At 43.5% G+C, this 27373-nt stretch overlaps 2 protein-coding genes across 42 annotated transcripts in view, besides 7 other annotated features; one reads left to right on the top strand and one right to left on the bottom strand.

Annotated features, from left to right (window-relative positions):
• The window catches only part of RBBP4 (RB binding protein 4, chromatin remodeling factor), a 35004-nt gene extending 12696 nt beyond the window's left edge, over positions 1-22308 (bottom strand). The window contains exons 1-11 of one of the 3 annotated variants that reach the window (NM_005610.3): positions 22194-22308; positions 21455-21602; positions 15944-16089; positions 5118-5291; positions 4662-4777; positions 4384-4544; positions 4159-4285; positions 3953-4030; positions 990-1066; positions 817-874; positions 615-725 (exon numbers count right to left, since the gene is read on the bottom strand). In NM_005610.3, the coding sequence (NP_005601.1) occupies positions 615-725; positions 817-874; positions 990-1066; positions 3953-4030; positions 4159-4285; positions 4384-4544; positions 4662-4777; positions 5118-5291; positions 15944-16089; positions 21455-21602; positions 22194-22209 (1212 nt within the window). In that variant the 5' untranslated portion in view covers positions 22210-22308. Of the gene's footprint in view, positions 1-614; positions 726-816; positions 875-989; positions 1067-3952; positions 4031-4158; positions 4286-4383; positions 4545-4661; positions 4778-5117; positions 5292-15943; positions 16090-21454; positions 21603-22083; positions 22161-22193 lie in introns of those variants that run through there. The other 2 variants (NM_001135255.2, NM_001135256.2) reach the window with 2 other exon arrangements.
• Positions 21660-21759: an enhancer, noted in NCBI's record as "active region_696". NCBI's record gives its function as "activates an Ori minimal core promoter by ATAC-STARR-seq in GM12878 lymphoblastoid cells {active_cell/tissue: GM12878}" and the evidence as "EXISTENCE:reporter gene assay evidence [ECO:0000049][PMID:35858748]".
• Positions 21920-22508: an enhancer, noted in NCBI's record as "NANOG-H3K27ac-H3K4me1 hESC enhancer chr1:33116609-33117197 (GRCh37/hg19 assembly coordinates)". NCBI's record gives its function as "activates a minimal SCP1, AML or CMV promoter by ChIP-STARR-seq in naive H9 embryonic stem cells {active_cell/tissue: H9 hESC(naive)}" and the evidence as "EXISTENCE:reporter gene assay evidence [ECO:0000049][PMID:30033119]".
• Positions 21920-23096: a biological region, named in NCBI's record as "hESC enhancers GRCh37_chr1:33116021-33116608 and GRCh37_chr1:33116609-33117197".
• Positions 22060-22629: a silencer, noted in NCBI's record as "silent region_604". NCBI's record gives its function as "represses an Ori minimal core promoter by ATAC-STARR-seq in GM12878 lymphoblastoid cells {active_cell/tissue: GM12878}" and the evidence as "EXISTENCE:reporter gene assay evidence [ECO:0000049][PMID:35858748]".
• Positions 22509-23096: an enhancer, noted in NCBI's record as "NANOG-H3K27ac hESC enhancer chr1:33116021-33116608 (GRCh37/hg19 assembly coordinates)". NCBI's record gives its function as "activates a minimal SCP1, AML or CMV promoter by ChIP-STARR-seq in naive and primed H9 embryonic stem cells {active_cell/tissue: H9 hESC(naive and primed)}" and the evidence as "EXISTENCE:reporter gene assay evidence [ECO:0000049][PMID:30033119]".
• Positions 22584-27373, top strand: part of ZBTB8OS (zinc finger and BTB domain containing 8 opposite strand) — a 30113-nt gene continuing 25323 nt past the window's right edge. For 24 of the 39 annotated variants that reach the window (NR_158776.1, NR_158780.1, NR_158781.1 and 21 more), the window contains exon 1: positions 22584-23083. Coding sequence is in view for 13 of the 39 variants with exons in the window: in NM_001366270.1 (NP_001353199.1) it covers positions 22951-23083 (133 nt within the window). In the remaining 26 variants the exon portion in view is untranslated. Of the gene's footprint in view, positions 23115-27373 lie in introns of all 39 variants that reach the window. The other 15 variants (NR_158775.1, NM_001366267.1, NM_001308138.2 and 12 more) reach the window with 4 other exon arrangements.
• Positions 24230-24369: an enhancer, noted in NCBI's record as "active region_695". NCBI's record gives its function as "activates an Ori minimal core promoter by ATAC-STARR-seq in GM12878 lymphoblastoid cells {active_cell/tissue: GM12878}" and the evidence as "EXISTENCE:reporter gene assay evidence [ECO:0000049][PMID:35858748]".
• Positions 25886-25955: a silencer, noted in NCBI's record as "silent region_603". NCBI's record gives its function as "represses an Ori minimal core promoter by ATAC-STARR-seq in GM12878 lymphoblastoid cells {active_cell/tissue: GM12878}" and the evidence as "EXISTENCE:reporter gene assay evidence [ECO:0000049][PMID:35858748]".

The following is a 27373-nucleotide window of genomic DNA, read 5'->3' as shown; positions in this document are numbered from 1 at the left end:
CAGTGAGCCGAGATTGCACCATTGCACTCCAGCCTGGGTGAAAAAGTGAGAGACCATCTCAAAAAAAAAAAAAGAGAAAATTTAAGGAGGGTGTTCACATTCTTTGAGATAGAGATAGGGAACATTTTTGAAATCTAGACAGCTTTCATGGAGAAATAGTAGTATTTGATGCTGTGATATGATATACCTCCTTTGGGTATGTAAATTTGTACTTGTAAGATGATAAGATGGGAGAAACACCGCAGATAGATGGTATGAAATCTGGAAGTGAACTAGAACTAGAAGTAAACAGACATGGAAAATTCTTGAGTTTTCAAGTCTGGTTAGCTAGGAAAATGTTGGAGTCATACAAAAAGAAAGAAAGAAGGAGGAGAGGGAAAAGGAGAAGTGGGAGAGAGGGTCAGTTTTGTTTAGCAGAGTTTAAAATACCAGTGGTATGACCAAATACAGTCAAGAGCAGGCAGCTGAAAATGATAATGTATAGACAAGTCTTAAAATCACACCTGGGAGTAAAATGAACAGAGATGGTAGCTGTAATCATAAAATATACAAATGTAAATTGATTCTATGTCTCACTTATTTCACCTCCCCAAAATAAATTACTAAACCCTTACCATTTGCCACACTTGCATGATATTGTCTTCTGATACAGAACAAATCACCCAAGGTTCATTGGGATTCCAGGAGAAATCAGATATCTTGGCAGTATGACCACCATGAATAAACTGAAAGAGGGAAGAAAACAAAGAGGTGAAATGCAGATAGAGGACATTAAATTACAGACTATTTCAGTACTGTCCAATGCTTTTAACATACCAACAACTCTGGTGGCCCGTCTTCTGCATCTTCTGGGGATTGTTCCTCTCCAATTTTACTAGTACAAAAGCATAATTTTAAAAGTTAAAACAGATTTACCCTTAGTAACTACCTTTGCAAAGTGTAAATAAAGGAAATAATTATGTAGAGAGAGGAATGAATACAAGAATTACCTTAAATCCCAGACATTCAGTCTGCGATCAGTACCACTGGAAGCTAAAATAGTCTCATTGTGAGGTGACCACTGAACCTACACATAGGAATGAAGAAAAGAGCAAAGCCATGAATTAGAAAATAAAGGGAAAAAATTCACAAAATATTTAACAATTTAAAAATTTTGTAAATAAAAGGGAAGAGGAAGTCAAGGTATTATACACGTTACAGTTAAAATTAAGAGCTAAAGAATTTATTTTATGGGCAGGCGCGGTTGGCTCACACCTGTAATCCCAGCACTTTGGGAGGCGGGTGGATCACATGAGGTCAGGAGTTCAAGATCAGCCTAACCAACATGGTGAAACACTGTCTCTACTAAAAATACAAAAATTAGCTGGGTGTGGTGGCAGGCGCCTGTAATCCCAGCTACTCGGGAGGCTGAGGCAGGAGGATTGCTTGAACCCAGGAAGCAGAGGTTGGAGCTGAGATCGTGCCACTGCACTCCAGCCTGGGTGACAGACTCTCTCAAAAACAAACAAAAAGAAAAACAAAAAAAAAATGTTTACAAAAACAACCCATTACTAGACATTTCTAGACCCAGGATATAAGCTTTTGTTCCATTCCCACAGCACCCCTTTGGCACACTTTTTCTTGAGACGGAAGTCTTGCTCTGTCACCCAGGCTGGAGTACAATGGCAGGATCTCAGCTCACTGAAACCTCCACCTCCCAGGTTCAAGCGACTCTCCCACCTTAGCCTCCCAGGTAGCTGGGATTACAGGTGTCCGCCACCACGGCCAGCTAATTTTTGTATTTGTGTAGAGATGGGGTTAGGCTGGTATCAAAAAAAAAAAGAGATGAGGCCTCGCTATATTGCTTCTAGGCTGGACTTGAACTCTTGGGCTCAAGGGATCTCGCTGCCTCAACCTCCTGCGTAGCTGGAGGTGTGTGCCATGTGCCCAGCATCATTTTATCTTTGGAAACATCACATCTTGTCTGTTCTTGTGGGGTGATCTCAGTTCACTGCAATCTCCTCCTCCCATGTTCAAGCGATTCTCCTGCCTCAGCCTCTTAAGTAGCTGGGATTACAGGCGTGCACCACCATGCCTGGCTAATTTTTGTATTTTTATTAGAGACGAGGTTTCACCATGTTGGTCAGGGTGGTCTCAAACTCCTGACCTCATGATCCACCCGCCTCGGCCTCCCAAAGCGCTGAGATTACAGGCATGGGCCATCGTGCCCGGCCTACATCTTGTCTATTCTTATTTGCTAATTCTGGCCTCTACCCAAATGCAATCCAATTCTGACCTAAGAACTAAAGTACAGATGACATATACAATAACTATGTCCCCAAGTATTTACTATGAGTTCTGTATTACATATAAGTCTGATTAAAAATGACTCCATGCAATAATTTTATTAAAGAGTCAGACAAAAAATTTACTACTATATATCCAACAATCAGAGTTTGCTACCAAATATGGTAAAAGTGCTACCTAGCCTTAAGGTACAGAAAAAGAGGGCATTAGTGACCAGCAATTAAGGAAGAATTTGGATTCTGTCCAGGCAAGAATACCGTCACAAGCAAAGCAAAGAGATAGGGTAAGGATAAAATGTTCACCAAGGTGGGCTGAAAAGTAGAAAATAAGAGACTAAGTATGTAGGAGTATGGCTCACCTAAAGCCCAGTTCAGACGCCACCTTCACACACCAGAATTAATCTTTACCACCCTCAGGTTCATAACACTTGACAAAATCTTTTATTATAGTAATTTCTAAACAAGCCCTCCCTCACTATAAAATTTTGGGCTCGGCTGGGCGTGGTGGCTTACGCCTGTAATCCCAGCACTTTGGGAGGCTGAGGCAGGAGAATCCCTTTAGCCTGGGAAGTGGAGGTTGCAGTGAGCCGAGATTGCACCATTGCACTCCAGCCTGGCCAACAAGAGCAAAATGCCGTCTCAAAAAAATTAATTAAAAAAAAATAAAAAAATTGGGGGCTCCTTGATAGCAAAGGCTACATAACGTAATCTTTCATAGTGCCGTAGCAACAAGCTTTGAACATAGTGCAGTGATTATTTCTTTTTTTAATTTTTGCAATCAGACCTGGGCGATAACCTTGAGCAGGATATAAACTCCCACATGCTTAGCGTTCCAATAATGGAACACTAGGCATAAATGGGTTTAAACTGATGAGGTAGAAAATATGGAGCCAGAGGTTGAGGCTTGGGTTGAGAAATCAACACATGTGGCAAGTAATGAAGGATGAAGAATATATTGGAAGAAGGGAAGAGATCACTAAGTGTCAGAAACAAGGCTGAAAAAATAATCAGGCACTAGTTTTCCTTTCTTTGTAAATTTTTATTAAAAAATAGACAGGGTTGGCCAGGCTGGTCTCAAACTCCTGGCCTCAAGCAATCCACCCATCTCAGCCTCCTAAAGTGCTGGGATTACAGGCATAAGCTACCATACCTGGCCTAGTTTTCTTAATATCTGAAGAATGTAAGTGGTCAATAACCAGTTTGAGAAAGTATAGAAATAACAAAGAAAAAACAATTCCCACAGAAAGTAGCATAGGCATATAGATTTCTATTTTTAGCAACGGCATAAAGCACATGTGTGCCCACTCATACATCCAGGTTTTTCTTTTTTCTTTTTTTTTGAGACGGACTCTCGTTCTGTCGCCCAGGCTAGAGTGCAGTGGCACAATCTCGGCTCACTGCAACCTCTGCCTCCCGGGTTTCATGCCATTCTCCTGCCTCAGCCTCCCGAGTAGCTGGGACTACGGGCATCCGCCACCATGCCCGGCTAATTTTTTATATTTTTAGTAGAGACAGGGTTTCACCGTGTTAGCCAGGATGGTCTCGATCTCCTGACCTTGTGATCCGCCCGCTTCAGCCTCCCAAAGTGCTGGGATTACAGGCGTGAGCGACCGCGCCCAGCAGGTTTTTCTTAAAACAAACAAAATAGTAGCATTAGTTTCTCTTACCTGGAATATTTCATCCTTATGTGACTCAAAGGAATGCAACTTAAGTTTCAGATTTCTCAGATCCCACAAGGCAACAGTCTATGTACAAAAAGAAAAGCAAGAGTAATCAATTTTTTAAGAAAAAAAAAATACTGTAAGTAAAATATCTCTGCAATTCAAAAAAACCTAGAGAAATTATGTTTTCTATTAAAATAAACGAAACTGACCTTGTCAGCTGATCCTGTGGCAAGAATGAACTCACTATAAGGATTGAAAGAAAGGCAGTTCACTTCAGCAGTGTGAGCATCAACTGAGTGGCTTGGTTTGGAAGTATTGTTTGAACGAGTATCCCAACTTCAGTGAAAAAAAAACAAAGGAAAAAAACCTTGAAATGGTGACTAAACATAAAACTTAGACAAGATATTTAGAAACTCTGAATGGATTCTACTCACATCATAAGTTTCTGATCATCAGCAACTGACCCAAACAGAGACTCATGGAGTAGATGCCAGGAAACATCTTCTACTACTGCCGTATGCCCTGTAAAGATGGTCTTCGCATCTACCACTTTTCCCTCCTTTGGAACGGCACTGATGTCCCACAGGCAGATGGTCTTAAATGTAAAATTAACCATTATATAAAAGGAAGATTCTCACCTCCCCACACACCCCAAAAAAGAAACCAACTGGTAACTAGCCCAGATTTGCTTCAAAATGGGAAGGATACACACATGGTCATCTGAAGCACTAAGTAAGTGCCCACTGAGATTTGGGTTCCAAGAAAGCCCATAGCCTTCCTTCTGATGTCCACGGAGACGCAAGTCTGGGTTGCACTCTCCAGAAGGATCTGCAAAGTGACAGACACATCAAGACTACCCAGTCCACTGGCTCTCTGGGCCTACTGAGCATAATGGAATTTTGGTCAAGATGTCTAAAGCTCTTAACATTTATAAATGATATAGGAACCGTTATGATCAAATAGATAATGCTTAAACAGCACCAGTATTTTGTTCTATGTAAAAAAGCATTATTTTTTCATGGAGGCAAAATGAAGAAAAATATACACATATCAATACAAATCACAAGATGTTAAATTACACAGAGTAACATGCAATTAAACTCACAGTGAGTGGAACCATGTATTTCTATAGTGACTCATTTGTATTTGAATAGAAAAGGGCACATACCTGGTTTAGAAGGATGTTTTGTATAGTCAAAAACAAGAACATCACTGGAAGGAGTCTTTGTTGCGATGATACAAGGGTTCTGGGGCATATAACGGGCCCTGTTTACTTCTCCTTCATGGTTGATCTTGATTTCTATTTCAATTTTTCCACTAACTGAACCAAAACCTCCAAATTCTGTGAATAAATTAATTGCAAATGAGGACAAAACAAGAGCTACTCTAGAGGTTACCCAGAGTATAAGAACACAGGAAAGGATTTTTTTTCCTTAGCAACAAACTGGCATAATACTAGATGTAATCTATACATTTGCTAGCACTATAAAGTGCTTTCCTACCCCCGTGACTCCAGGTAGTTAAATAACTAATAAGAAATACAGTCAGCTCTCCATATCAGTGGGTTCTTTATCCATGAATTCAACTAGCCATTAATTGAAAATATTCAGAAAAACATTGCATATGTATTGAACATGTACAGATTTCCCCCTCATCATTATCCCCGAACAATATAGTCTATTTATATAACATTTACATTATATTAGGTATTATAGGTAATCTAGAGACATTTTAAAGTATATGAGAAGATCTGCATAGGTTATGTGTAAACATTATGCCATGCTGTATCAGAGACTTCAGCATCTGTGAATTTTGGTATCCAAAGGAGGTCTTGGAAACAATTCCCCACGGATTCTGAGGGATGGCTGTATTATATTACTATCTGAAATTAAGGAAAACTAGAATTCTACTGATGTAGGGTCCAGCCCTACGGGGCTTAGCGGGTGTTCTCCCCGTGTGCGGAGATGAGAGATCATAAGAAATAAAGACACAAGACAAAAGAGATAAAGAGAAAACACCTGAGCCTGGGGGACCACTACCACCAAGACGCAGAGACCGGCAGTGGCCCCAAATGGCTGGGTGCGCTGATATTTATTGCATACAAGACAAGGGGGCGAGGTAAGGAGGATGAGTCGTCCAAGTGATTGATAAGGTCAAGCAAGTCACATGATCATGGGACAGGGGCCCTTCCCTTTCAGGCAGCTGAAGCAGAGAGGTAAGGCAGCATACGTCAGCGTTTTCTTCTATGCACTTATCAGAAGGATCAAAGACTTTAAGACTTTCACTATTTTTTCTACTGCTATCCTCTAGCAACTTCAAAGAGGAATCAGGAGTACGGGAGGAACATGAAAGTGGACAAGGAGCATGACCACTGAAGCACAGCACCACAAGGAGGGGTTTAGGCCTCCGGATGACTGTGGGCAGGCCTGGATAATATCCAATCTCCCACAAGAAGCTGGTTGGTGGAGCAGAGTGTTCCCTGACTCCAAGGGAAGGGAGGCTCCCTTTCACAGTCTGCTAAGTAATGGGTACCTTCCCAGGCAATGGTGTTACCGCTTGCCAAGGAGCCCTCAAGTGGCCCTTATGCGGGCGTGACAGAGGGCTCACCTCTTGCCTTCTAGGTCACTTCTCACAATGTCCCTTCAGCACCTCATCCTATACCTGCCGGTTATTCCTTGGTTATATTAGTAATACAACAAAGAGTAATATTAAAAGTTGATGATTAATAATGTTTATACTAATGATTGATAATGTCCATGATCATCTCTATATCTACTTTGTATTTTAACTATTCTTATTCTAACTATTTTCTTTATTATACTGAAACAGTTTGTGCCTTCAGTCTCTTGCCTCGGCACCTGGGTAATCCTTCGCCCACATACTTCAAAAACAGATCTTAATAAAGTTTTCAGCCAGGCGCAGTGGCTCACGCCTGTAATCCCAGCACTTTGGGAGGCTGAAGCGGGCAGATCACCTGAGGTCAGGAGTTCGAGACCAGCCTGACCGATATGGTAAAACCCCGTCTCTACTAAAAATACAAAAATTAGCTGGGCGTCGTGGCAGGCGCCTGTAGTCCCCAGCTACTGGGGAGGCTGAGACAGAATTGCTTGAACCTGGGAGGCGGAGGTTGCAGTGAGCCGAGATCGTGCCACTGCACTCCAGCCTGGGTCACAGAGCAAGACTCCGTCTCAAAAAAAAAAAAAATAAAGTTTTCAAATTTCAAAGTGTAAATAAGTATGCTGAATAAATAAAACCAATGCTACTACTATAATGAATATTAAGTACACAGTGTGCTAAACACTAAAGTGCCCTTCTTGCATTGCTTGTATGAAGCTCTAGCTTGGGATGAATGTTCTGAAATACCATCATGCCGTTTATCTTCTCCTTACAGTGTTTCTTTTATTTCAGTGAGGAAAAACAGAGCCACAGCAGCCAGTTCCATTTTGCTACACCCACTTACACATGCCAACAAAAGTCCCTGGTTGAAATAAACCAGGTAGGCAACAACTAGATGAAAACATTTTTTATTCACACATGACTACTATGTGCACTTAGAGAGTTCTCTCAAGTACCATTATAGTATATATAACAATATAATGTGTGATTATGTAAATCTTGGCAAAGCAATATATAAATAAAGGTAGTTAATGATCAAAGAATAATAGAAGGCAGCATGGTACGGTTGCAAAAGTTCCAAAGTAAGAGTCAGACCCAGGCCCCTAAGTGGCTCTGTCACTTACTTAGTTTGGTGATTCAGGGAAGGCCTTCAGTTTCTCTGAGCATCAAATACCTTATCCACAAAGCAAAGAAGTTGTGAGAGTAACTTAAAAATAAATAAAAATATTCTGTCAATTGCATTGCTATATAGTGCTTTTTTTTTTTTTTTTTAAAGACAGGGTCTTGCTCTGTCACCCAGACTGGAGTGTAATGGCACGATCTCGGCTCACTGCAACCTCTGCCTCCTGGGTTCAAGCGATTCTCCTGCCTCAGCCCCCTGAGTAGCTGGGACTGCAGCCATGTGCCATGACGCCCAGCTAATTTTTGCATTTTTAGTAGAGACGGGGTTTCATCATGTTGGCCAGACTGGTCTTGAACTCCTGACATCAGATAATCTACCCGCTTCAGCCTCCCAAAGTGCTGGGATTACAGGAGAGAGCCACTGGGCCGGGCCTAGTGTTATTCTTTGAAGGACAAACATCTTTTCAGAAAGCAAAGATATACATGGGTGGTATGGCTGGCGTATTAGATAACTTTCAACTTCAAAATAACTTTTGAAAAGCAAAATGTTTCACACAGGCTAAAAACCTAAAAATAAAAATTCAAGATAGATTCTAAAGGAGAAAAAATCCCTAATTTTTTCCATAACTCCAGCCCACAAGCATCTACAATCTATGAAAAAACAAGGCATATATGGTACGTACCTCAAGAAACTTCAGTCTAAGTACAGGCATAGCTCGTTTTATTGTGCGTCACACATAAGTTTTTTTCCCCAATTGAAGGTTACAGCAACCCTGCACTAAGTCTATTAGTGGCATTTTCCCAACATGTGTTCAGTTGGTGCCTCTGTGTCTGCATTATTATTATTATTTTTTTTAGCAATGAAGTATTTTCAAATTAAGGTATGTACATTGTTTTTTAGACATAATGCTATTGCACGTTTAGGAGACTATAGTATAGTGTAAACATACAAAAAATTTGTGTGGTTTGCTTTATATATTTGCTTTACTGCAGTGATTGGGAACTGAACCCCCATCATATCTCTGAGATATGCACATATACAACTGCAAAGGCCAATGACCACCACCCCCAAAAAAGTGGCTGGGCACGGTGGCTCACACCTGTAATCCCAGCACTTTGGGAGGCCGAGACGGGTGGATCACAAGGTCAGGAGTTTGAGATCAGCATGGCCAATATGGTGAAACCTCATCTCTACTAAAAATACAAAAATTAGCTGGGCATGGTGGCACGTGCCTGTAGTCCCAGCTGCTCAGGAGACTGAGGCAAGAGAATTGCTTGAACCCGGGAGGCAGAGGTTGCACTGAACCAAGATTGCACGACTACACTCCAGTCTGGGCGACAGAGTGAGACTCTGTCTCAAAAAACAAACAAACAAACAAAAAAAGAAGCATAGCTGCCAGAAAAGAGGCACCAATAACAAAGGAGGAGAAGCCACAGTTGGCACAGAGCCCACAGAGCAAGGGGTAACCACTACATAACATTGGTTATTTCAGTATTGAGTAGATATTAAACGTAGGCCTCCTAAACCATAAAGAAAACCACAGTAGTAAGAACTTAGCGTATTCAAAATTGAAAATTGGGCCGGCCCAATGTTACTGGGTTATCAGAACTTATTAACATCAGTGTTATCAAAGTTGCACACATCCCTCACTGTTAAATTTGACAGGGTTCAGGAGATCAAGACTATGCTGGCTAACACGGTAAAACCCCGTCTCTAATAAAAATACAAAAAAAATTAGCCGGGCGTGGTGGCGGGCGCCTGTAGTCCCAGCTACTTGGGAGGCTGAGGCAGGAGAATGGCATGAACCCAGGAGGCGGAGCTTGCAGTGGGCCGAGATCGCGCCACTGCATACCAGCCTGGGCAACAGAGCGAGACTCCATCTCAAAAAAGAAAAAAAAAAAATTGACAGGTTAAAAAAAGAAATGGAAAATTGCATTTAAAAAACATTTCAAGGCCAGGCGTGGTGGCTCAAGCCTGTAATCGCAGCACTTTGAGAGGCCGAGGCAGGCGGATCACGAGGTCAGGAGATTGAGACCATCCTGGCTAACACCGTGAAACCCCGTCACTACTAAAAATACAGAAAATTAGCTGGGCATGGTGGCAGGCGCCTGTAGTCCCAGCTACTCGGGAGCCTGAGGCAGGAGAATGGCGTGAACCTGGGAGGCAGAGCTTGCAGTAAGCGGAGATCATGCCACTACACTCCAGCCTGGGCGATAAAGCGAGACTCTGTCTCAAAAAAAAAAAATATTTCAGGGGCTGACTGTGGTGGCACATGCCTATAAGTCCTAGCTGCTTGGGAGGCTGCGGCTGCAGTGAGCTGTGATCACACCACTGCACTCCAGCCTGGGCAACAGAGTAAGACCCTGTCTGAAAAAATACATATATAGTAATATAATACAAAATAAATAAATAGGTGTTGAAGCTGTTATGCGAAAAGGCCAATCTGAAGTAGAAAAGAAAGGCTGAAGTATCAACTTGCTTTCCTATTTTGTTGGCTTCTCTCCATATAAATATTATTAAAACAAACGTGAGGTATAACATGATATAGTAAAGGTGCACAAATCGTCGTAGCTTGATGAATTTTTATATATGTATGCACCAGGTCAAAATATAAAACATTCCCATCTTACCAGAAGGTATGAACTGTGTCTTCCCAGTCAATACTATGTCCTCAAACAAGGTAACCACCATAGTGATTTTTACCACTGAGCCACTTTTTGAGTCCATGAACCTTACAACTAAGAATCTACCAGCTTGAGTAAAATATATAATAATTTATTATAAATTTGGACTAAAGACTAGAGACATCACTTTTTAATTTTTATTTATTTTTATGTTTTTTTGAGACGAGTCTTGCTCGTCACCCAGGCTGGAGTGCAGTAGTAGCACGATCTCGGCTCACTGCAACCTCCGCCTCCTGGGTTCAAGCGATTCTACTGCATCAGCCTTCCAAGTAGCTGGGACTACAGGCACACACCACCACGCCCAGCTAATTTTTGTATTTTTAGTAGAGATGGGGTTTCACCACGTTGGCCAAGCTGGTCTTGAACTCCTGACTTCGTGATCCATAAGCCTCGGCCTCCCAAGTGCTGGAATTACAGTCGCCAGCCACTGCGCCTGGGCTGAGATATCACTTCCTTAAAAAACAAAACTAGGCTGGGCATGGTGGCTCACGCCTATAATCCCAGCACTTTGGGAGGCTGAGGCAGGTGGATCACGAGGTCAGGAGTTCGAGACCAACCTGGCCAACGTAGTGAAACCCCATCTCTACAAAAAATACAAAATTAGCCGGGTGTGGTGGTGCATGCCTGTAATCCCAGCTACTCGGGAGGCTGAGACAGGAGAATTGCTTGAACCTGGGAGGTGGAGGTTGCAGTGAGCCGAGATTGCACCATTGCACTCCAGCCTGGGTAACAAGAGTGAAATTCTGTCTCAAAAAGCAACAACAACAACAACAACAACAAAAATTAGCTGGTGTGGTGGCGGGTACCTGTAATCCCAGCTACTCAGGAGGCTGAGGCAGGAGAATCACTTGAACCCAGGAGGCGGAGGCTGCAGTGAGATCGCACCACTGCACTCAGCCTGGACGACAGAGAGAGACTGTTTGTTAAAAAAATAAAACAAAACCCCAAAAAAACAAAAAAACCCGGGCGCGGTGGCTCAAGCCTGTAATCCCAGCACTCTGGGAGGCCAAGGCTAGCAGATCGCAATGTCAGGAGATGGAGATCATCCTGGCCAACATAGTAAAACCTCATCTCTACTACAACCACAAAAATTAGCTGGGTGTGGTGGCACAGACCTGTAGTCCCAGCTACTTGGGAGGCTGAGGCAGGAGAATCGCTTGAACCCAAGAGGCGGAAGTTGCAGTGAGCCGAGATTGCCACACTGCACTCCAGCCTGGTGATAGAGCAAGACTGTCTCAAAAAAAAAAAAAAAAAAAAAAAAAAAAAAAAAAAAGTGGGCAAAGGACATGAACAGACACTTCTCAAAACACATATAAGCAGACAACGAATGTGAAAAAAAAAAGATCAACATCACCAATCATCAGAAAAATGCAAATCAAAACAGATAGATGCCTCTCACACCAGTCAGAATGGCTATTATTAAAAAGTTGAAAAATAACATGGTGAGGCTGCAGAGAAAAGGGAACACTTAGACACTGCTGGTGGGAATGCAAATTAGTTCAACAACTGTGAAAAGCAGTCTGTGGAGATTTCTCAAATAACTAAAAACAGGGCCAGGCATGGTGGTCACGCCTGTAATCCCAGCACTTTGGGAGGCTGACGCAGGTGGATCACCTGAGGTTGGGAGTTCGAGACCAGCCTGACCAACATGGAGAAACCCCATCTCTACTAAAAATACAAAATTAGCTGGGCATGGTGGCGCATGACTGTAATCCCAGATACTCGGGAAGCTGAGGCAGAAGAACTGCTTGAACCTGGGAGGCGGAGAGTGCAGTGAGTTGAGATAGCGCCACTTTACTCCAGCAACAACAGTGACACTCCATCTCAAAAAAAAAAAAAAAGGAACTAAAAATAGAACTACCATTCAACCCAGCAATCCCATTACCGGGAATATACCCAAAAGAAAAGAAATTGTTCTACAAAAAAGACACGTGCACTTGTATGTTCACTGTAGCATTATTCACAATACCAAAGATACGGAAATCAACCCAAGTGTCCATCAATGGTTGACTGAATAAAAAAATTTTTTTGGCTGAGTATAGTGGCTCATGCCTATAAGCCCAGAACTTTGGGAAGCCAAAGTGGGTGAATTGCAAGAGCCCAGGAGTTTTCAGACCAGCCTGGGCAACGTGGTGAGACCTACTCTCTACAAAAAATACAATGGAAATCAGCTGGGCATGGTGGCGCATGCCTGCAATCCCAGCTACTCAGGACGCTGAGGCAGGAGGACTGCTTGAGCCCAGGAGGCAGAGGTTGCAGTAAGCGGGGATTGTGTGACTGCACTCCAGCCTGGGTGACAAAGCAAGACTCCGCCTCAAAATAACAACAAAAACTCAATCATTTAGGAAAAAAAGGCTGGATTCTGATTCCATACCAAATACCAGAATGACAAAAGTTTTAATGGCCCAAACATAAAAGTCCCAGAAGACAACAATAGATGAACACATACTTTATGAAATCATTGAATGGGAGGTCTGAGGTGGGAAGATTGAGGCCAGAGTTCCAGATCAGCCTGAGCAACATAGTGACATGCCATCTCTTAAAAAAAAAAAAAATTAAGTTATCTGGGTGTGGTGGTGGGCGCCTGTAATCCCAGCTACTTGGGAGGCTGAATCAGGAGAATAGCTTGAATCTGGGAGACGGAGGTTGCAGTGAGCAGAGATTGCGCCACTGCACTACAGCCTGGGCGACAGAGCCAGACTCCGACTCAAAAAAAATAAATAAATAAAATAAAAATCCAGGTATGGTGGTGTATGTCTGTAGCCAGAGCTACTTGGGAGGCATAGGTGGGAGGATCGTTTGAGCCCATAAGGAGGCTGCAGTCAGCTAAGATCATGCCAGTGCACTCCAGTCTGGGTGACAGAGCAAGGCTCCATTAAAAAAGCAACTTACAGCTTCTAACCAATAACAGGACTTAAGATTTTAAGTTAAACAAGAAAATGATCTGCACCTATTTATTGGGTGGAGAAGGTATAATTTACCTTATATGAAGAGGTAACTCAAAAGGAAATACGGGCAAAAAACATAAATAAACAGGAGATGTAAGCTCAACATCACAAATAAAAAAAGCAATGTAAACTTGAGAATGAACTCTACTGAGTCCAGTGTTGGCAAAGGCATGGAGAAACAGACATAAATACATACGCTGTTGTGGGACTTCAAATCTTTTTCTGGAGTGCAACTTAGCAGTATCAATTATATTAAAAAACGGTCCTGCCCTTTGATACAACATTCTACTTAGAAAGTATTTCTATAGCAAAACTATGCTTTTGAAGTCAAAAAATTAGAAACCATCTAAATGTCTATCAGTAAGGAATAGTTAATTATGGTCTACTATACAGCCATCAAAAGGAGGCAGGTCTCCATCTACTAACAAAGATACATGCCCCAGATATATTAGGCCATAAAAGCAAATTATGAACCTATATTGCATATTCTATACCTGGCATACAAAATTACTCAACATATTTGTTGAATGAGTGATCCAATACACAGGATAAATCCTTCAGAAAACAATACATCACAATACATCCATTTAAGTGATATCCAGGGGAAAGGTTTTTCTTTTGTTTTGTTTTTGAGACGGAGTTTCCCTTTTTTTTTTTGCCCAGGCTGGAGTGCAATGGTGAGATCTCGGCTCACTGCAATCTCTGCCTCCCGGGTTCAAGTGATGCTCTTGCCTCAGCCTCCTGAGTAGCTGGGATTACAGGTGCGTGCCACTGCACATGGCTAATTTTGTATTTTTAGTAGAGACAGGGTTTCACTATGTTGGCCAGGCTGGTCTTGAACTCCTGACCTCAAGTGATCCACTGGTCTCAGCCTCCCAAAGTGCTGGGATTACAGGAGTGACTCACCGCACCCGGCCAGGGAAAGGTTTATTATATGGGAGAAGGGGTGCGTTTTTTACATTGTGTGTAAAATTACATATATATGTAAAACCACATATATGTGTGTGTATACATTTATATTGTGTGTGTGTAAAATTACATATATTTTATATATATAAAATTTATATGTATATATAAATTATATATATTACACACAATATAAATATATACACATGTAGTTTTACATATATAATTTATATATTTATATATAAATATAATACATTTATATTATCTAAAATTATATATAACTATATTTTACACACAATATATACACGCATGTAGTTTTACATATACATACATATATACGTATGTTTATATATAAATATAACATTTATATTGTGTAAAATTACACATATAATTTTACACACACAATATAAATATATACACACACATATATGTAGTTTTACAATTTATCACACTACCAATCAGAGTATTTGTGCCTCAGTAACAAGAACAAAAGGCAGGAGGATCATTTGAGGTCCGGAGTTCGAGACCAGCCTGACCAACATGATGAAACCCTGTCTCTACTAAAAATACAAAAAATTAGCCAGGCGTGGTGGTGCATGCCTGTAGTCCCAGCTGCTTGGGAGGCTGAGGCAGGAGAATCGCTTGAACCTGGGAGGTGGAGGTTGCAGTGAACTGAGATCGCGCCACTGCACTCCAGCCTGGGCAGCAGAGCGAGACTCCATCTCCAAAAAAAAAAAAAGGAAAGCGTTTAAGCATTTCATGAGCAGTTAAACCCTTAGGTTATGGCCTAAAAACAGGATATAATTAAACAACTCATTGGAACTTAGTTTCTATACACATAGAGAGTGCCATGGTTAAGTCATTTCTACCACTTTAAACCTAGAAAGGGTAATTTAAGTTAGTGTTTCTCAACCTTTTTTTTTTTTTTACTATTGCTCCTCTAAGAACTCTTTTAAGAACTATTCCCTCCCCACCAGTCCCATGAAATTTTAATACCATAGATATCCTATGTCCTCTGTGCATATCTGTGCTTTAAACAATCAACCAGTAAGATTATTTACACCTACTCACATACACAAACCAATTTTCACCTCCTTAGGGGTAGTTATCTCCCGTGTTAAGAATGTATAGCAATATGGATGGGTGCAGTGGCTCACGCCTGTAATTCCAGCACTCTGAGAGGCTGAGGTGGGTGGATCACCTGAGGTCAGGAGTTCAAGACCAGCCTGGCCAACTTGGTGAAACCCTGTCTCCACTAAAAATACAAAAATTAACTAGGCGTGGTGGCGGGCGCCTGTAATCCCAGCTACTCAGGAGGATGAGGCAGAAGAATCGCTTGAACCCGGGAGGCGGAGGTTGCAGTGAGAGAAGATCGTGCCACTACACTCCAACCTAGGCAATAGAGCGAGACTGAGTAAAAAAATAAAAAATCAAGAATGTACAGCAATAATATATATTTTTGCTTCTTTCAATTGCAGAAATCCTCCCCACCAGCACCAGCTGAGAAAAGTTTATTGTGAAGGTACAGAACCAAGGATGTGTTAAGTATTTCTTCTGATACCTAAAACTCTAATATAAATATAAATACCTACCATTGCAAACTCAGGCTTTCCCTCAACCTTAAATATTGTTTCTAAAGTCAGAGTTTACTTTATCAAAGTGCACATAACAGATATGACCCACACATCTTTACTTCTTTCACCTTTAAGATTCCTACCTCCTTTCTCACTGTCGTAGTGTGACGCATCAAACTGAGCATCATCATTAGGGAGCTGCACACTGGCTATAACAAGATGGTTTTGTTCATCCGATGTGTGTGTCCCCAGGACAAGTCGATGAATGCTGAAATCTTTCCCTTCTGGTCTGTAACGGCAATATATAGTCACTGTTCAAATTAGTAACATCAGGAGACGGCGAAGTCAACAATATACATGTATGTCAAAGTCACTAATACAACCAGGTTTTAAGAGAGGGGAAAAAGTCATTAAGGGTCTTTTCTTTCTTTCTTTTTTTATAAATAGAGTCTCACTCTTTCGCCCAGGCTAGAATGGAGTGGTGCGATCTTGGCTCACTGCAACCTCTGGCTCTCGGATTCAAGCGATTCTCATGCCTCAGCCTCCCGAGTAGCTGGGACTACAAGAACCTGCCACCATGCCTGGCTGATTTTCGTATTTTTAGTAGAGACGGGATTTCACCATGTTGGCCAGGCTGGTCTCGAACGCCTGGCCTCAAATTATCCACCCACCTCAGCCTCCCAACGTGCAGAGATTACAGGCAAGAGCCACCGTGCCTGGCCAAGAGCCATATTTTCTACTTAATTACTCTGGAGAAAAAGTAAAACGTTTTATGGAATAAAATGTGAATTAACTACTCACTCACTACCAACAGGTTGGAGGGAAAGCAAACCATTGTTGGGTATGCTAATAATTTTGCTTACTAAAACTTTCATTAAAAAGGAAAGAAGGGGAAAGGGTGCAAAGAAATTGAAAAGAATGAAAAAAGGGAAAGAAGAGTAAATAACATAAACCAATTTTTCAAACATTTACTAACCGCCTATCAATGGACACATCGCTCCAAACGCGATGGAAGTACAAAGACAATTAAGACATGATTCCTGACCTCAAAAAACCTGCAGCTGGGCCAGGCATGGTGGCTCACACCTGTAATCCCAGCACTTTGGGAGGCCGAAGAGGGTGGATTAATTGAGGTCAGGAATTCGAGACCAGCCTGACCAACATGATGAAACCCGGTCTCTACTAAAAATACAAAAATTAGCCGGGTGTGGTGGCGGTGCCTGTAGTCCTAGCTACTCAGGAGGCTGCGACAGGAGAACTGCTTGAACCCAGGAGGCAGAGGTTGCAGTGAGCCAAGACGGTGCCACTGCACTCCAGCCTGGGCGAAAGAGCAAGACTCTGTCTCAAAAAACAAACAAAACAAAAAAAACCGGCGGCTGGCTAATCCCAGCTACTTGGGAGGCTGAGGCACAAGAATCGCTTGAACCCGAAAGGCGGAGGCTGCAGTGAGCAGAGATCGTGTTACTGCACTCCAGCCTGGGTGACAGAGAAAGACTACTTCCTGTCTCAAAAAAGAAAAAAATAAATAAAAGAAAGAAAATTAAACAATTTGCCTAAGATCACACAGCTACTAAGTAACAAGTATGCTGAAGTCCAAATCTGACTTCTGATATGGGAAAGCACAGTGGGAGAGAAGGCCGATTAAAACTGACTATTTAGTGTTCTGAATGCCGTCTTAAGGCATTCTGTACTCCATACTGGGTCAAGGGCATCCACATCATCTGGGAACTTGTTAGAAACGCAAATTCTCACATCTACTCCAGACCCATTGAATCAGAAACTCTAGAAGGTGGGGCACAACTAACTGTTTCACAGTACCTCCAGCTGATTATGATGCATATAAAATTTTGAGAACCCCTGGCCTAGATGGGAAAGATGCTACACAACCAGAATTCATTGGGGTTTATAAATTGACTGCCTATAAAATGGAGAAAGAGAAAATGTCAAACTAAAGCCAATTATGATGAAAAGAAATAGGAACAACAGGAGAGAAAGTTGGGGTAAGGCCTTCACGTAAGGAATAATTCCATTTACAACATGTCAAACTGGGGAAGCCAGTAAGATATACCAGGGAAGACACGGGCAGGCAGAAGAAAAATCAGGAAAAGCTCTGGAGAAGTGAGGTCTAAAGATATCAATAGGAATTCTTCTGCACAGATGTCACAGGCAAAGCTCTGAGAGCTTCTACATTACACTGAAAAGAAATGAAGAGAGATATGAACAGAAAATTGGAATTACCTGTATGTAGAAGGTTAGACAAGAACCAGAAAAAGAATGAAGGAGAGGACAGTGTTACAGAACTACAACCGTGGTTTTTCTTTCTTTTTAAAGGGGGGAAACGGATCTGGGTAAACACCAGAAAAAGAACACACACAAAAGTAAACACTGCATCAGGGCTGCTTGCTTGTAAGTAATCCTCATCTTAAAAAACAAAAACAGGGCCAGGCACGGTGGCTCATGTCTGTAATCCCAGCACTTTGGGAGGTCAAAGTGGGAGGATCACTGGAGCCCAGAAGTTAAAGAACAGTCTGGACAACATAGCAAAAAAATTTTTCAAAAATTAGCCAGGTATGGTAGCGTGTGCCTGTAGCCCCAACTATTCCAGAGGCTGAGGCAGGAGGATTCCTTGGCCCAGGAGGTCAAGGCTGCAGGGAACTCTGATCGTGCCACTGCAACACAGTCTGGGCAACAAAGCAAGATCCTGTCTCAAAAACAATTTTCAGCCAGGTGCACTAGCTCACGCCTGTAATCCCAGCACTTTGGGAGGCCGAAGCGGGTGGATTACCTGAGGTCAGGAGTTCAAGACCAGCCTGGACAACATGGTGAAACCCCATCTCTACTAAAAATACAAAAAATTAGCTGGGCGTGGTGGCGGGTGCCTGTAATCCCAGCTACTTGGGAGGCTGGGGCAGGAGAATCGATTGAACCCAGGAGGCGGAGGTTGCAGTGAGCTCAGATCATGCCACTGCACTCCAGTATGAGTAACAAGAGTGAAACTCCGTCCTCCGTCTCAAAACAACAACAACAACAAAAAACAATTCTCACATTATTTATCTAGATTTGCTAATGCAGAAAACTACTAAGATGACAGTACAGATTTCAGCCTTGGGGAATTAAGTCTTTAATTCTTGCTTTCGAAACCTAGCTAGTCATTCTATTATATTACTTGGGAAGTTTCTGAAAAGTAGGGGTTCTAGAATGTTTAGTAGGTATGGGATGGCCAATATTTGTGATCCACTAGTCCAATAAGCACAATTTAGCATATGACTATAGTAAATGTGGAATCACCATTCCAGTACACTTCTCATTAAGTACTCTGCCACAAGTTCTTTTTCTTTGAGACAGGGTGGCAATCCCTAGCTCAGGCTGGAGTGCAGTAGCAGGATCACAGCTCAATGCAGCCTTGACCTCCCAAGGCTCAGGTGATCCTCCTGCCTCAGCCCCCACTGAGGAGCTGGGACTAACAGGTACGCACCACCATGCCCGGATAATATTTGTAATTTTAGTAGAGACGGGCTTTTCACCATGTTGCCCAGGCTGGTCTGGAACTCCTGGCCTCAAGCAATCTGCCTGCCTCAGCCTCCCAAAGTGCTGGGATTACACGTGTGAGCCACCATGACCAGCCCATAAGTTCCTAAATGGTTTGAATTACCACTGAAAACTCTTGACAGAAATGATTCCAATTATCCTGAATTCCCCAAGCAATTCTGATGATCAATTGCATGTGGGAACTCCTGGTCATGATAAAGAAGCTTCTAGGCCGGGCGCGGTGGCTCACGCCTGTAATCCCAGCACTTTGGAAGGCCGAGGCGGGTGGATCATGAGGTCAGGAGATTGAGACCATCCTGGCTAACACGGTGAAACCCCGGCTCTACTAAAAATACAAAAAATTAGCCAGGGGTAGTGGCCGGCACCTGTAGTCCCAGCTACTTGGGAAGCTGAGGCAGGAAAATGGCGTGAACCCGGGAGGCGGAGCTTGCAGTCAGCGGAGATCACGTGACTGCACTCCAGCCTGGGCAAGAGAGGAGACTCCGTCTCAAAAAAAAAAACAAAAACAAAAAAAAAAAAAAAAAAAAAACCAGAAAACAAAAAACACACAAAGCAGCTTCTAACTCCCAATTTCTAGGTTTTTACTATGGTTTTGTGTAACATCCCTAGGACACATTTCCCTATTTTTCCTTATGCCACTGTAAAGGTAGCAGCCTCATTCTTAAGTTACTAGTATAATTTCTGCCAAATTTCTATCATTTGTTGAGCTACATCATAGTCTAATAACATTTTGCAATTATCTTAACTTTTAAAGATCCAAGTTTTGAAGGAATTTACTTAGCATACAATCGCTTTTGAATGTAATTCAGAAAACTTACTTTTGTACCAGAAAATCCATTATTCCAAATGGCACAATGGTCTTGTTAAAACTATGTTAATATCATCTAAATTTACCCTCCTCTTTGTTTTTTGCATTGTCATTTCTTCCTAAGAAATGAGGCAAATTGAGGCAAATTTTCCTTCCTCTGATAATTTTATCTGTACCACTTTTATGCTAATTATAACTAATTTGGATCCCCGATATGTAGCACCAAATACAGCCCCAATAAATGCAAGCTATTTTATCCCCTCTACTAGAGATAAGCTACCTACACGTAAGAAACATAGGATTAATCTTTTAGCCCTCACTATGCCCAAACCCCTTATAAGAAAGCCATTCCACCTTCAGGTGTTTTCTAGGTACCCTAATTATCTCTCTACAACTGCTGTCACCATATATAACTATAATTATTAGTTTATATCTGCCACTTCAACTAGACAATGTGCTCCTTGAAGGCAGGTACCATGACATACTACGAGAATTCAAATTAAGTTTTGTTGAGGCCAGGTGCAGTGGCTCACGCCTGTAATCCCGGCACTTTGGGAGGCAGAGGCGGGCGGATCACCAGAGGTCAGGGGGTTGGAGACCAGCCTGTCCCACATGGTAAAACCCCGTCTCTACTAAAAATACAAAAAAATTTAGCCAGGCGTGGTGGCAGGTGCCTGTAATCCCAGCTACTTGGGAGGGCTTAGGCAGGAGAATCGCTCGAATCTGGGAGGCAGAGGTTGCAGTGAGTCGAGCTCGCGCCACTGCACTCCAGCCTGGACAACAGAGTGAGACACCGTCTCAAAAAGAAAAACAAAAAATTTTTGTTGTAAGGACTAGACTCATTGTAATACTTTTTTCTTTTTTTGTGTGGGGGGCAGTAGAGACGAGGGTATTCCCAGGGCTGGTCTCCAACTCCTGGCCTCAAGTAAGTCTCCTGCCTGGGCCTCCCAAAGTGCTCGGATTCCAAGTGTGAGCCACTGCTCCTGGCCATAATACTTTTTGAAAGTTGACAAGTTTTGTACTATTATTTGGTACAGCCACTATTATTACAGGTATTATCATCAGCTACAGCTATTTAATTCAGTATTGAGAAAAAAACGCCAATATGTTTTCTCTTGTCAGGTAAGTTACAAAATCATTTTGTTATTTTGCCTTACTTTGTGGCCTAGAAAAAATGTCACCAAGAGGTTTTGATCACATGCCTTCTCCGGGTGACTGAAGAGCGGAAAAAAGAAAATCAATATGAGAAATCTACACTGAAAATACATCAAAATAACGTTCGGGAGAGTCATGTCACCTGGTTACATCTGGAAGCCACTGGGCAGTTAGGCTGGGCCACTCCAGAGCATGGGTCATCACCAAATCATAAAGAAAAGGGGTGTTCTTTTTCCATATTTTGTATTCCTCGTTGATCACTCGTTCTTCCACTGCGTCGTCGAAGGCTGCTAAAATTTTTAAAAACAAATTTAAGTTAGCAAACAAACGGAAACCGAGTAATCCTCTGCAAAGCCACCTGCATGACTCCTACAGCCTAACCATGAAATGGAGGTGATTTGTCTAAATCCCCACGGCAGAGGCATCCACACTCTCCACTTTCGCGGCGCCGAAACTCCTCGGGCCATCCCCGCCAAACACTCCGTTACCCGTTCCAGGCCAAGGGGCCAGCCAGGCCTTCGGAGCACGCTCGTGCGCGCCGAAACTCACAAGCCCGACGAGGAGGCCCGAGCTCCGAGCCTTGTGGGTAGGAAGCGGTGTCCCCACGCTCGGGACAGAGGCCGAGAAACCGATATCGGAGGCAGGAAGAGAAACAAACACTGGCCGGGGGCCCCACCGCTGGCTTCGCCAGCTGCGACCGAAATCGGTCCCAGGGAACTGGCGAGCCGTTAGCACGCCCCGCGGGGAGTTCCCTCTTCACGCCTTCAGTACCGGGGACTGCACTCGGCAAACTCGGGCCTGCCCTCACTGTTAGGCCATGTCGAGGCCGCGGCTCAGCCCAGGCACCCACTGCCCTCCTGGGTCGGCCCCGGCACCCTCACCTTCCTTGTCGGCCATGGCGGGCAGGCGAGCCGGGGGAATCCTGGGGTCGAGCGTTGCGGGAGGGGCGGGGAGGCTGCAAGAGCTCGCTCTGTGCGCGCGGCCTCTATTGTTTCCTGCGCCCCCAGCGCGAGGGCTGACTCGCGCACCTTCGCGCCAACATCAGCCAATGGGAGCGCTCCTAATGGCGGGATGGGCGGGGAAGCCGCGTTCGCGACCAATCCAGACGCGCGGAGTAGCTTTCCGCGGGGACCGAGGCGCGCGCTCCGCCCCTCCCCCCACGCCTCCCCGAGCCGACTTCCAGCGATTGCGCGCGCCGGCGTTGACGGGACTGCGCCCGGTCAGGGTCACGTGAGAGAGGTTTGGTCCGCACACTCCCGCGGCAAGAGGGCAGCCATTTTCTTGAAGGCTATTAAGCTTACGACCCTTTCAGAGTACTGAGATGAAAAATCTAGAATGCCTTCGGGTCTAGTTATCAATTTTGGGGGTGAAGCGGGGGAAAGAACCTCGCCAGTCAGACCCAGACGGGTTTCATTCAAGGTGCCCTTCAACGTTTTTCCTTAGTCTTTGGAAAGAACTAGTAATGAAGGAATCGCAGAAGATGGGGTTTTGGCTTTTTAAATATGCGATCCAAGCGGCAGGGTAGGGACTAAAGTAGGTCAACAGCCAACTCCGAGAAAGGAGTGTGGTCCTTTAAGGGTGTGCGCCAAGGGGCGGAGTCTAGAGCGGAAGTAGTAACTCCGGGCCGAAGTCCGGTGGATGAAGGGCGGAAGTAGAGTGTCTAATCCTGCAGTCATGGCGCAGGAAGAGGAAGATGTTAGAGATTACAATTTGACTGAAGAACAGAAGGCGATCAAGGCCAAGTATCCGCCAGTCAATAGGAAGTACGAGTGTGAGTAGGTGGCTTACTTCTCTCTTTACATGTAAGCACACAGGCATCCCCTCTCCTTACCCGCGGCTTCCTGCTGCTCTTTCTACTGTGCCCCATGGGTACTTCAGGCATGATCCCATTTGTGCCGGCTGTTGTAGTCGCGTTCGTACTTCTCCTGGGGATGCTGAAGGAAAAAGCCACCTGGTTTAATAGTCGCGAAACCTGGCCTCCCTCATTTACAGTCTCTTGAACTTCTTCCACATGTGCCTAATCACATTTATCTTCGTAAATTCTAAAGATAACCATATTTTCAGGCGTTTGCAGGGTTGTTACCCCCATGTATTTCCCAACGGTGAGATTAGAGTGTGCGAGGTTAGAGGACTCGGAAAGCTAATTAGGGGATTTCTAACTTGATGTTTCACCTCGATCATATTAGCAAAAAACCTGGTTTTGCCATTTATGATTGTGATTTTTAAAAATGATTATTTTAGGCCGGGCTCGGTGGCTGAGGCCTGTGATCCCAGCACTTTGGGAGGCCGAGGCGGGCGGATCACCTGAGGTCGGAAGTTCGAGATCAGCCTGACCAACATGGAAAAACCCCGTCTCTACTAAAAATACAAAATTAGCTGGGCGTGGTGGAGCATGTCTGTAATCCCAGCTACTCGGGAGACTGAGGCAGGAGAATCGCTTGAACCCGGGAGGCGGAGGTTGCGGTGAGCCGAGATCGCCCCATTGCACTCCAGCCTGGGCAACGAGCGAAACTCTGTCTCAAAAAAAAAAAAAAATGTGTGTGTGTGTGTGTGTGTGTGTGTGTGTGTGTTTTTAGAGATGGGGTCTCGCTCTGTCGTCCAGGCTGGAGTGCAATGGAGCGATCATAGCCCGCGCTGCAGTGCCCAGCTGGTTTTGCCATTTATTCGCTTAGTGACTTTAGGCAAATCACATAACCTATCTTTGTCTCTTAAATTCTATATTAAACGTTAAGCTGTCATCCCTAAAGGTAGCTGTGGTTTGGGGAGCACAAATCTGACTTTTATTTATCTGCTTAAAATCTTTCATTAATTTCTCATTGTCCTCTCTGTAAAATCTACTTATTTACCATAGTATTCTAGGCAATGTGCTTTCTGGAGCTGGCATACCTCCTAGCATATCCCCTTCTCTCACTTAAAAACAATTTTAAAATATTATAGGCCGTTTGCGGTGGCTCACACTTATAATCCCAGCACTTTGCGAGACTGACGTGGGTGGATCACCTGAGGTCAGGAGTTCCAGACCAGCCTGGCCAACATGGTGAAACCCCGTCTCTACTAAAAATACAAAAATTAGCTGCGCATGATGGTGGGCGCCTGTAATCCCAGCTACTCGGGAGGCTGAGGCAGGAGAATTGCTTGAACCCAGGAGGGTGGAGGCTGCAGTGAGCCGAGATCACACCACTGCACTCCAGCCTGGGCAACAGAGTGAGACTGTCTCAAAAAAAAAAAAAAAAAAAAAAAGGCCTGGTGCTGTGGCTCACGCCTGTAATCCCAGCACTTTGGGAGGTTGAGGCGGGTGGATCACCTGAGGTCAGGAGCTTGAGATCAGCCTGGCCTGGCCAACATGGTGAAACCCCATCTCTACTAAAAATACAAAAATTAGCTAGGCATGGTGGTGGGTGCCTGTAATCCCAGCTGCTTGGGCGGCTGAGGCAGGAGAATCGCTTGAACCTGGGAGGCGGAGGTTGCAGTGAGCCGAGATTGCACCACTGCACTCCAGCCTGGGCGACAGAGCCAGACTCCATCTCAAAAAAAAATTATTTTTAATAGGTCATATATATTGATTTGAAATTCAGAAAGTGTAACATAGGCAGTGAAAAGTAACTCTGGCAGCCCCCATCCTCAACTACCTAGTCCCCCTCTGTAGAGCAGTCATCGTTACCTTTTTCTTACATGTACATACCTAGATGTTCTAGCATTTGCTTTAACCAATTTTCAGTTGATGGACGTTTAGGCTATTTCTACTCTTGTGGTATTAGAAACAGTGCAGCAGTGAATACACTTGTACATCCACTGTTTTGTACATGTGCAAGTGAATCTGTAGAATCAAGTTCTCCAAGTTTTTTTTGTTTCCATTGCTAAGACTCCTACATTTTTTAAAAGGATATTTTAACTTGGACAGTTATTGCCAAATTGCTCTCTATAGGAGTTGTACCAATTTATACTTTCACTAGTATTGTGTGAATGTGCCTCTTTCCTCCCACTTCTACTAATTGTTACCATACTTTTTTATCTTTTCTAATTTGTAAAGTATACTTACTGTATTTTTCTTATTGTAAGTGAAGTTGAACATATTATACTGTTTTGGAAGCTATTTGTATTTCCCATTCTGGGGTGTGTATGTTAATATTCTTAGCCCTTTTTTCTCTTGGGTTATTTTTTTTTTGTCTTGGGTTGTTGGTTTTTCTTACTAGGCAGAAAGTGTTTTTATGCAATGCAGTTCATTAACCAGCGGTCCCCAACCTTTTTGGCACTAGGGACTGGTTTCACGGAAGTCAGTTTTTCCACCAACGGGGGTTGTAGGGGAGGATGGTTTCAGGATGATTCAAGCGCATTACATTTATTGTGCATTTTATTTCTATTATTATTACGTTGTAATATATAATGAAATAATTATACAACTCACTGTAATATAGAATCAGTGGGAGCCCTGAACTTGTTTTCTTGTAACTAGATGGTCCCATCTGGGGATGACAGATCATCAGGCTTTAGATTCTCATAAGGAGCACACAGCCTAGATCCCTCAATGTGCAGTTCACAATAGTGTTCAAGCTCCTATGAGAATCTAATGCTGTGCCTGATCTGAAAGGAAGTGGAGCTCAGGCAGTAATGTTAGCAATGGGGAGCTGTTGTAAATATAGAAGAAGCTTTGTGAGCTCATGTCCTGCTGTGCTGCCTGGTTCCTAACAGGCCACCAACTGGTACTGGCCAGGGGGTTGGGGACCCCCTGCATTGACCCTTTCTTTCTTTTCTTTTTTTTTTTTTTTTGAGACAGAGTCTCGCTTTGTCATCCAGGTTGGAGTACAGTGGCATGATCTCCAGTCACTGCAACCTCTGCCCCCCAGGTTCAAGTAATTCTTCTGCCTCAGCCTCCTGAGTAGCTGGGACTACAGACATGCACCACCACACCTGGCTAATTTTTTTTTTTTTTTTTTTTTGAGACAGAGTAGCTGGGATTACAGGTATGCACCACCGTGCCTGGCTAATTTTGTATTTTTAGTAGAGATGGGGTTTCTCCATGTTGGTCAGGGTGGTCTCGAACTTCCAATCTCGAACTTCCAATCTCAGGTGATCCGCCCGCCTCGGCCTCCGAAGTGCTGGGATTACAGGCGTAAGCCACCACGCCTGGCATTTTTTTTTTTTTTTTTTTTTTTTTTTTTTTTGAGACAGTATCTTGCTCTGTCTCCCAGGCTGGAGTGCAGTGGCACCATCTCAGCTCACAGCAACCTCCGCCTCCTGGGTTCAAGTGATTCTCTTGCCTCAGCCTTCCGTATGGCTGGGATTACAGGTGCCCACCACCACACCCGGCTAATTTTTGTGTTTTTTTTTTAGTAGAGACAGGGTTTCACCATGCTGGCCAGGATGGTCTTGAACTCCTGACCTCAAGTGATCCGCCCACCTGAGCCTCCCAAAGTGCTGGGGTTACAGGCATGAGCCACCACTCCCGGCCAACCCTTTTTTTTATGGCTTCTAAGATAAGAAGTCATACTCAGGGAATGCCTTGTCCACTGAGATTTTAAAATAATTTTCCTAATTTTTTTTTTATACATTTGAAAATAGAACTTTTGGCCGGCGGATCACGAGGTCAGGAGATTGAGGCCATCCTGGCTAACATGGTGAAACCCTGTCTCTACTAAAAATACAAAAAAATTAGCCGGGCGAGGTGGCGGGCGCCTGTAGTCCCAGCTACTCGGGAGGCTGAGGCAGGAGAATGGCGTGAACCCGGGAGGCGGAGCTTGCAGTGAGCCGAGATTGCACCACTGCACTCCAGCCTGGGCAACAGAGTGAGACTCTTTCTCAAAAAAAAATAATAATAAAATAAAAAACTTTAATTGAATAACCTGGAATTAGATACCAAGAAAAAAAAATCTTTTTTTTTTTCCCTGAGACAGTCTCATTCTGTCACCCAAGCTGGAGTAGTGCAGTGGTGCGACTTTGACTCACTACAACCTCTGCCTCCTGGACTCAAGTGATCCTCCAACCTCAGCCTCTTGAGTAGCTGGGATTACAGGCGTGCACCATCATACCCAGCTAATTTTTCATTTTTAGTAGTGATGGAGTT

The sequence above is a fragment of the Homo sapiens genome, chromosome 1 (genome assembly GCF_000001405.40).
Source record: "Homo sapiens chromosome 1, GRCh38.p14 Primary Assembly".
NCBI classification, from domain to species: domain Eukaryota; kingdom Metazoa; phylum Chordata; class Mammalia; order Primates; family Hominidae; genus Homo; species Homo sapiens.
This window is presented reverse-complemented; position numbering and strand designations above follow the sequence as displayed.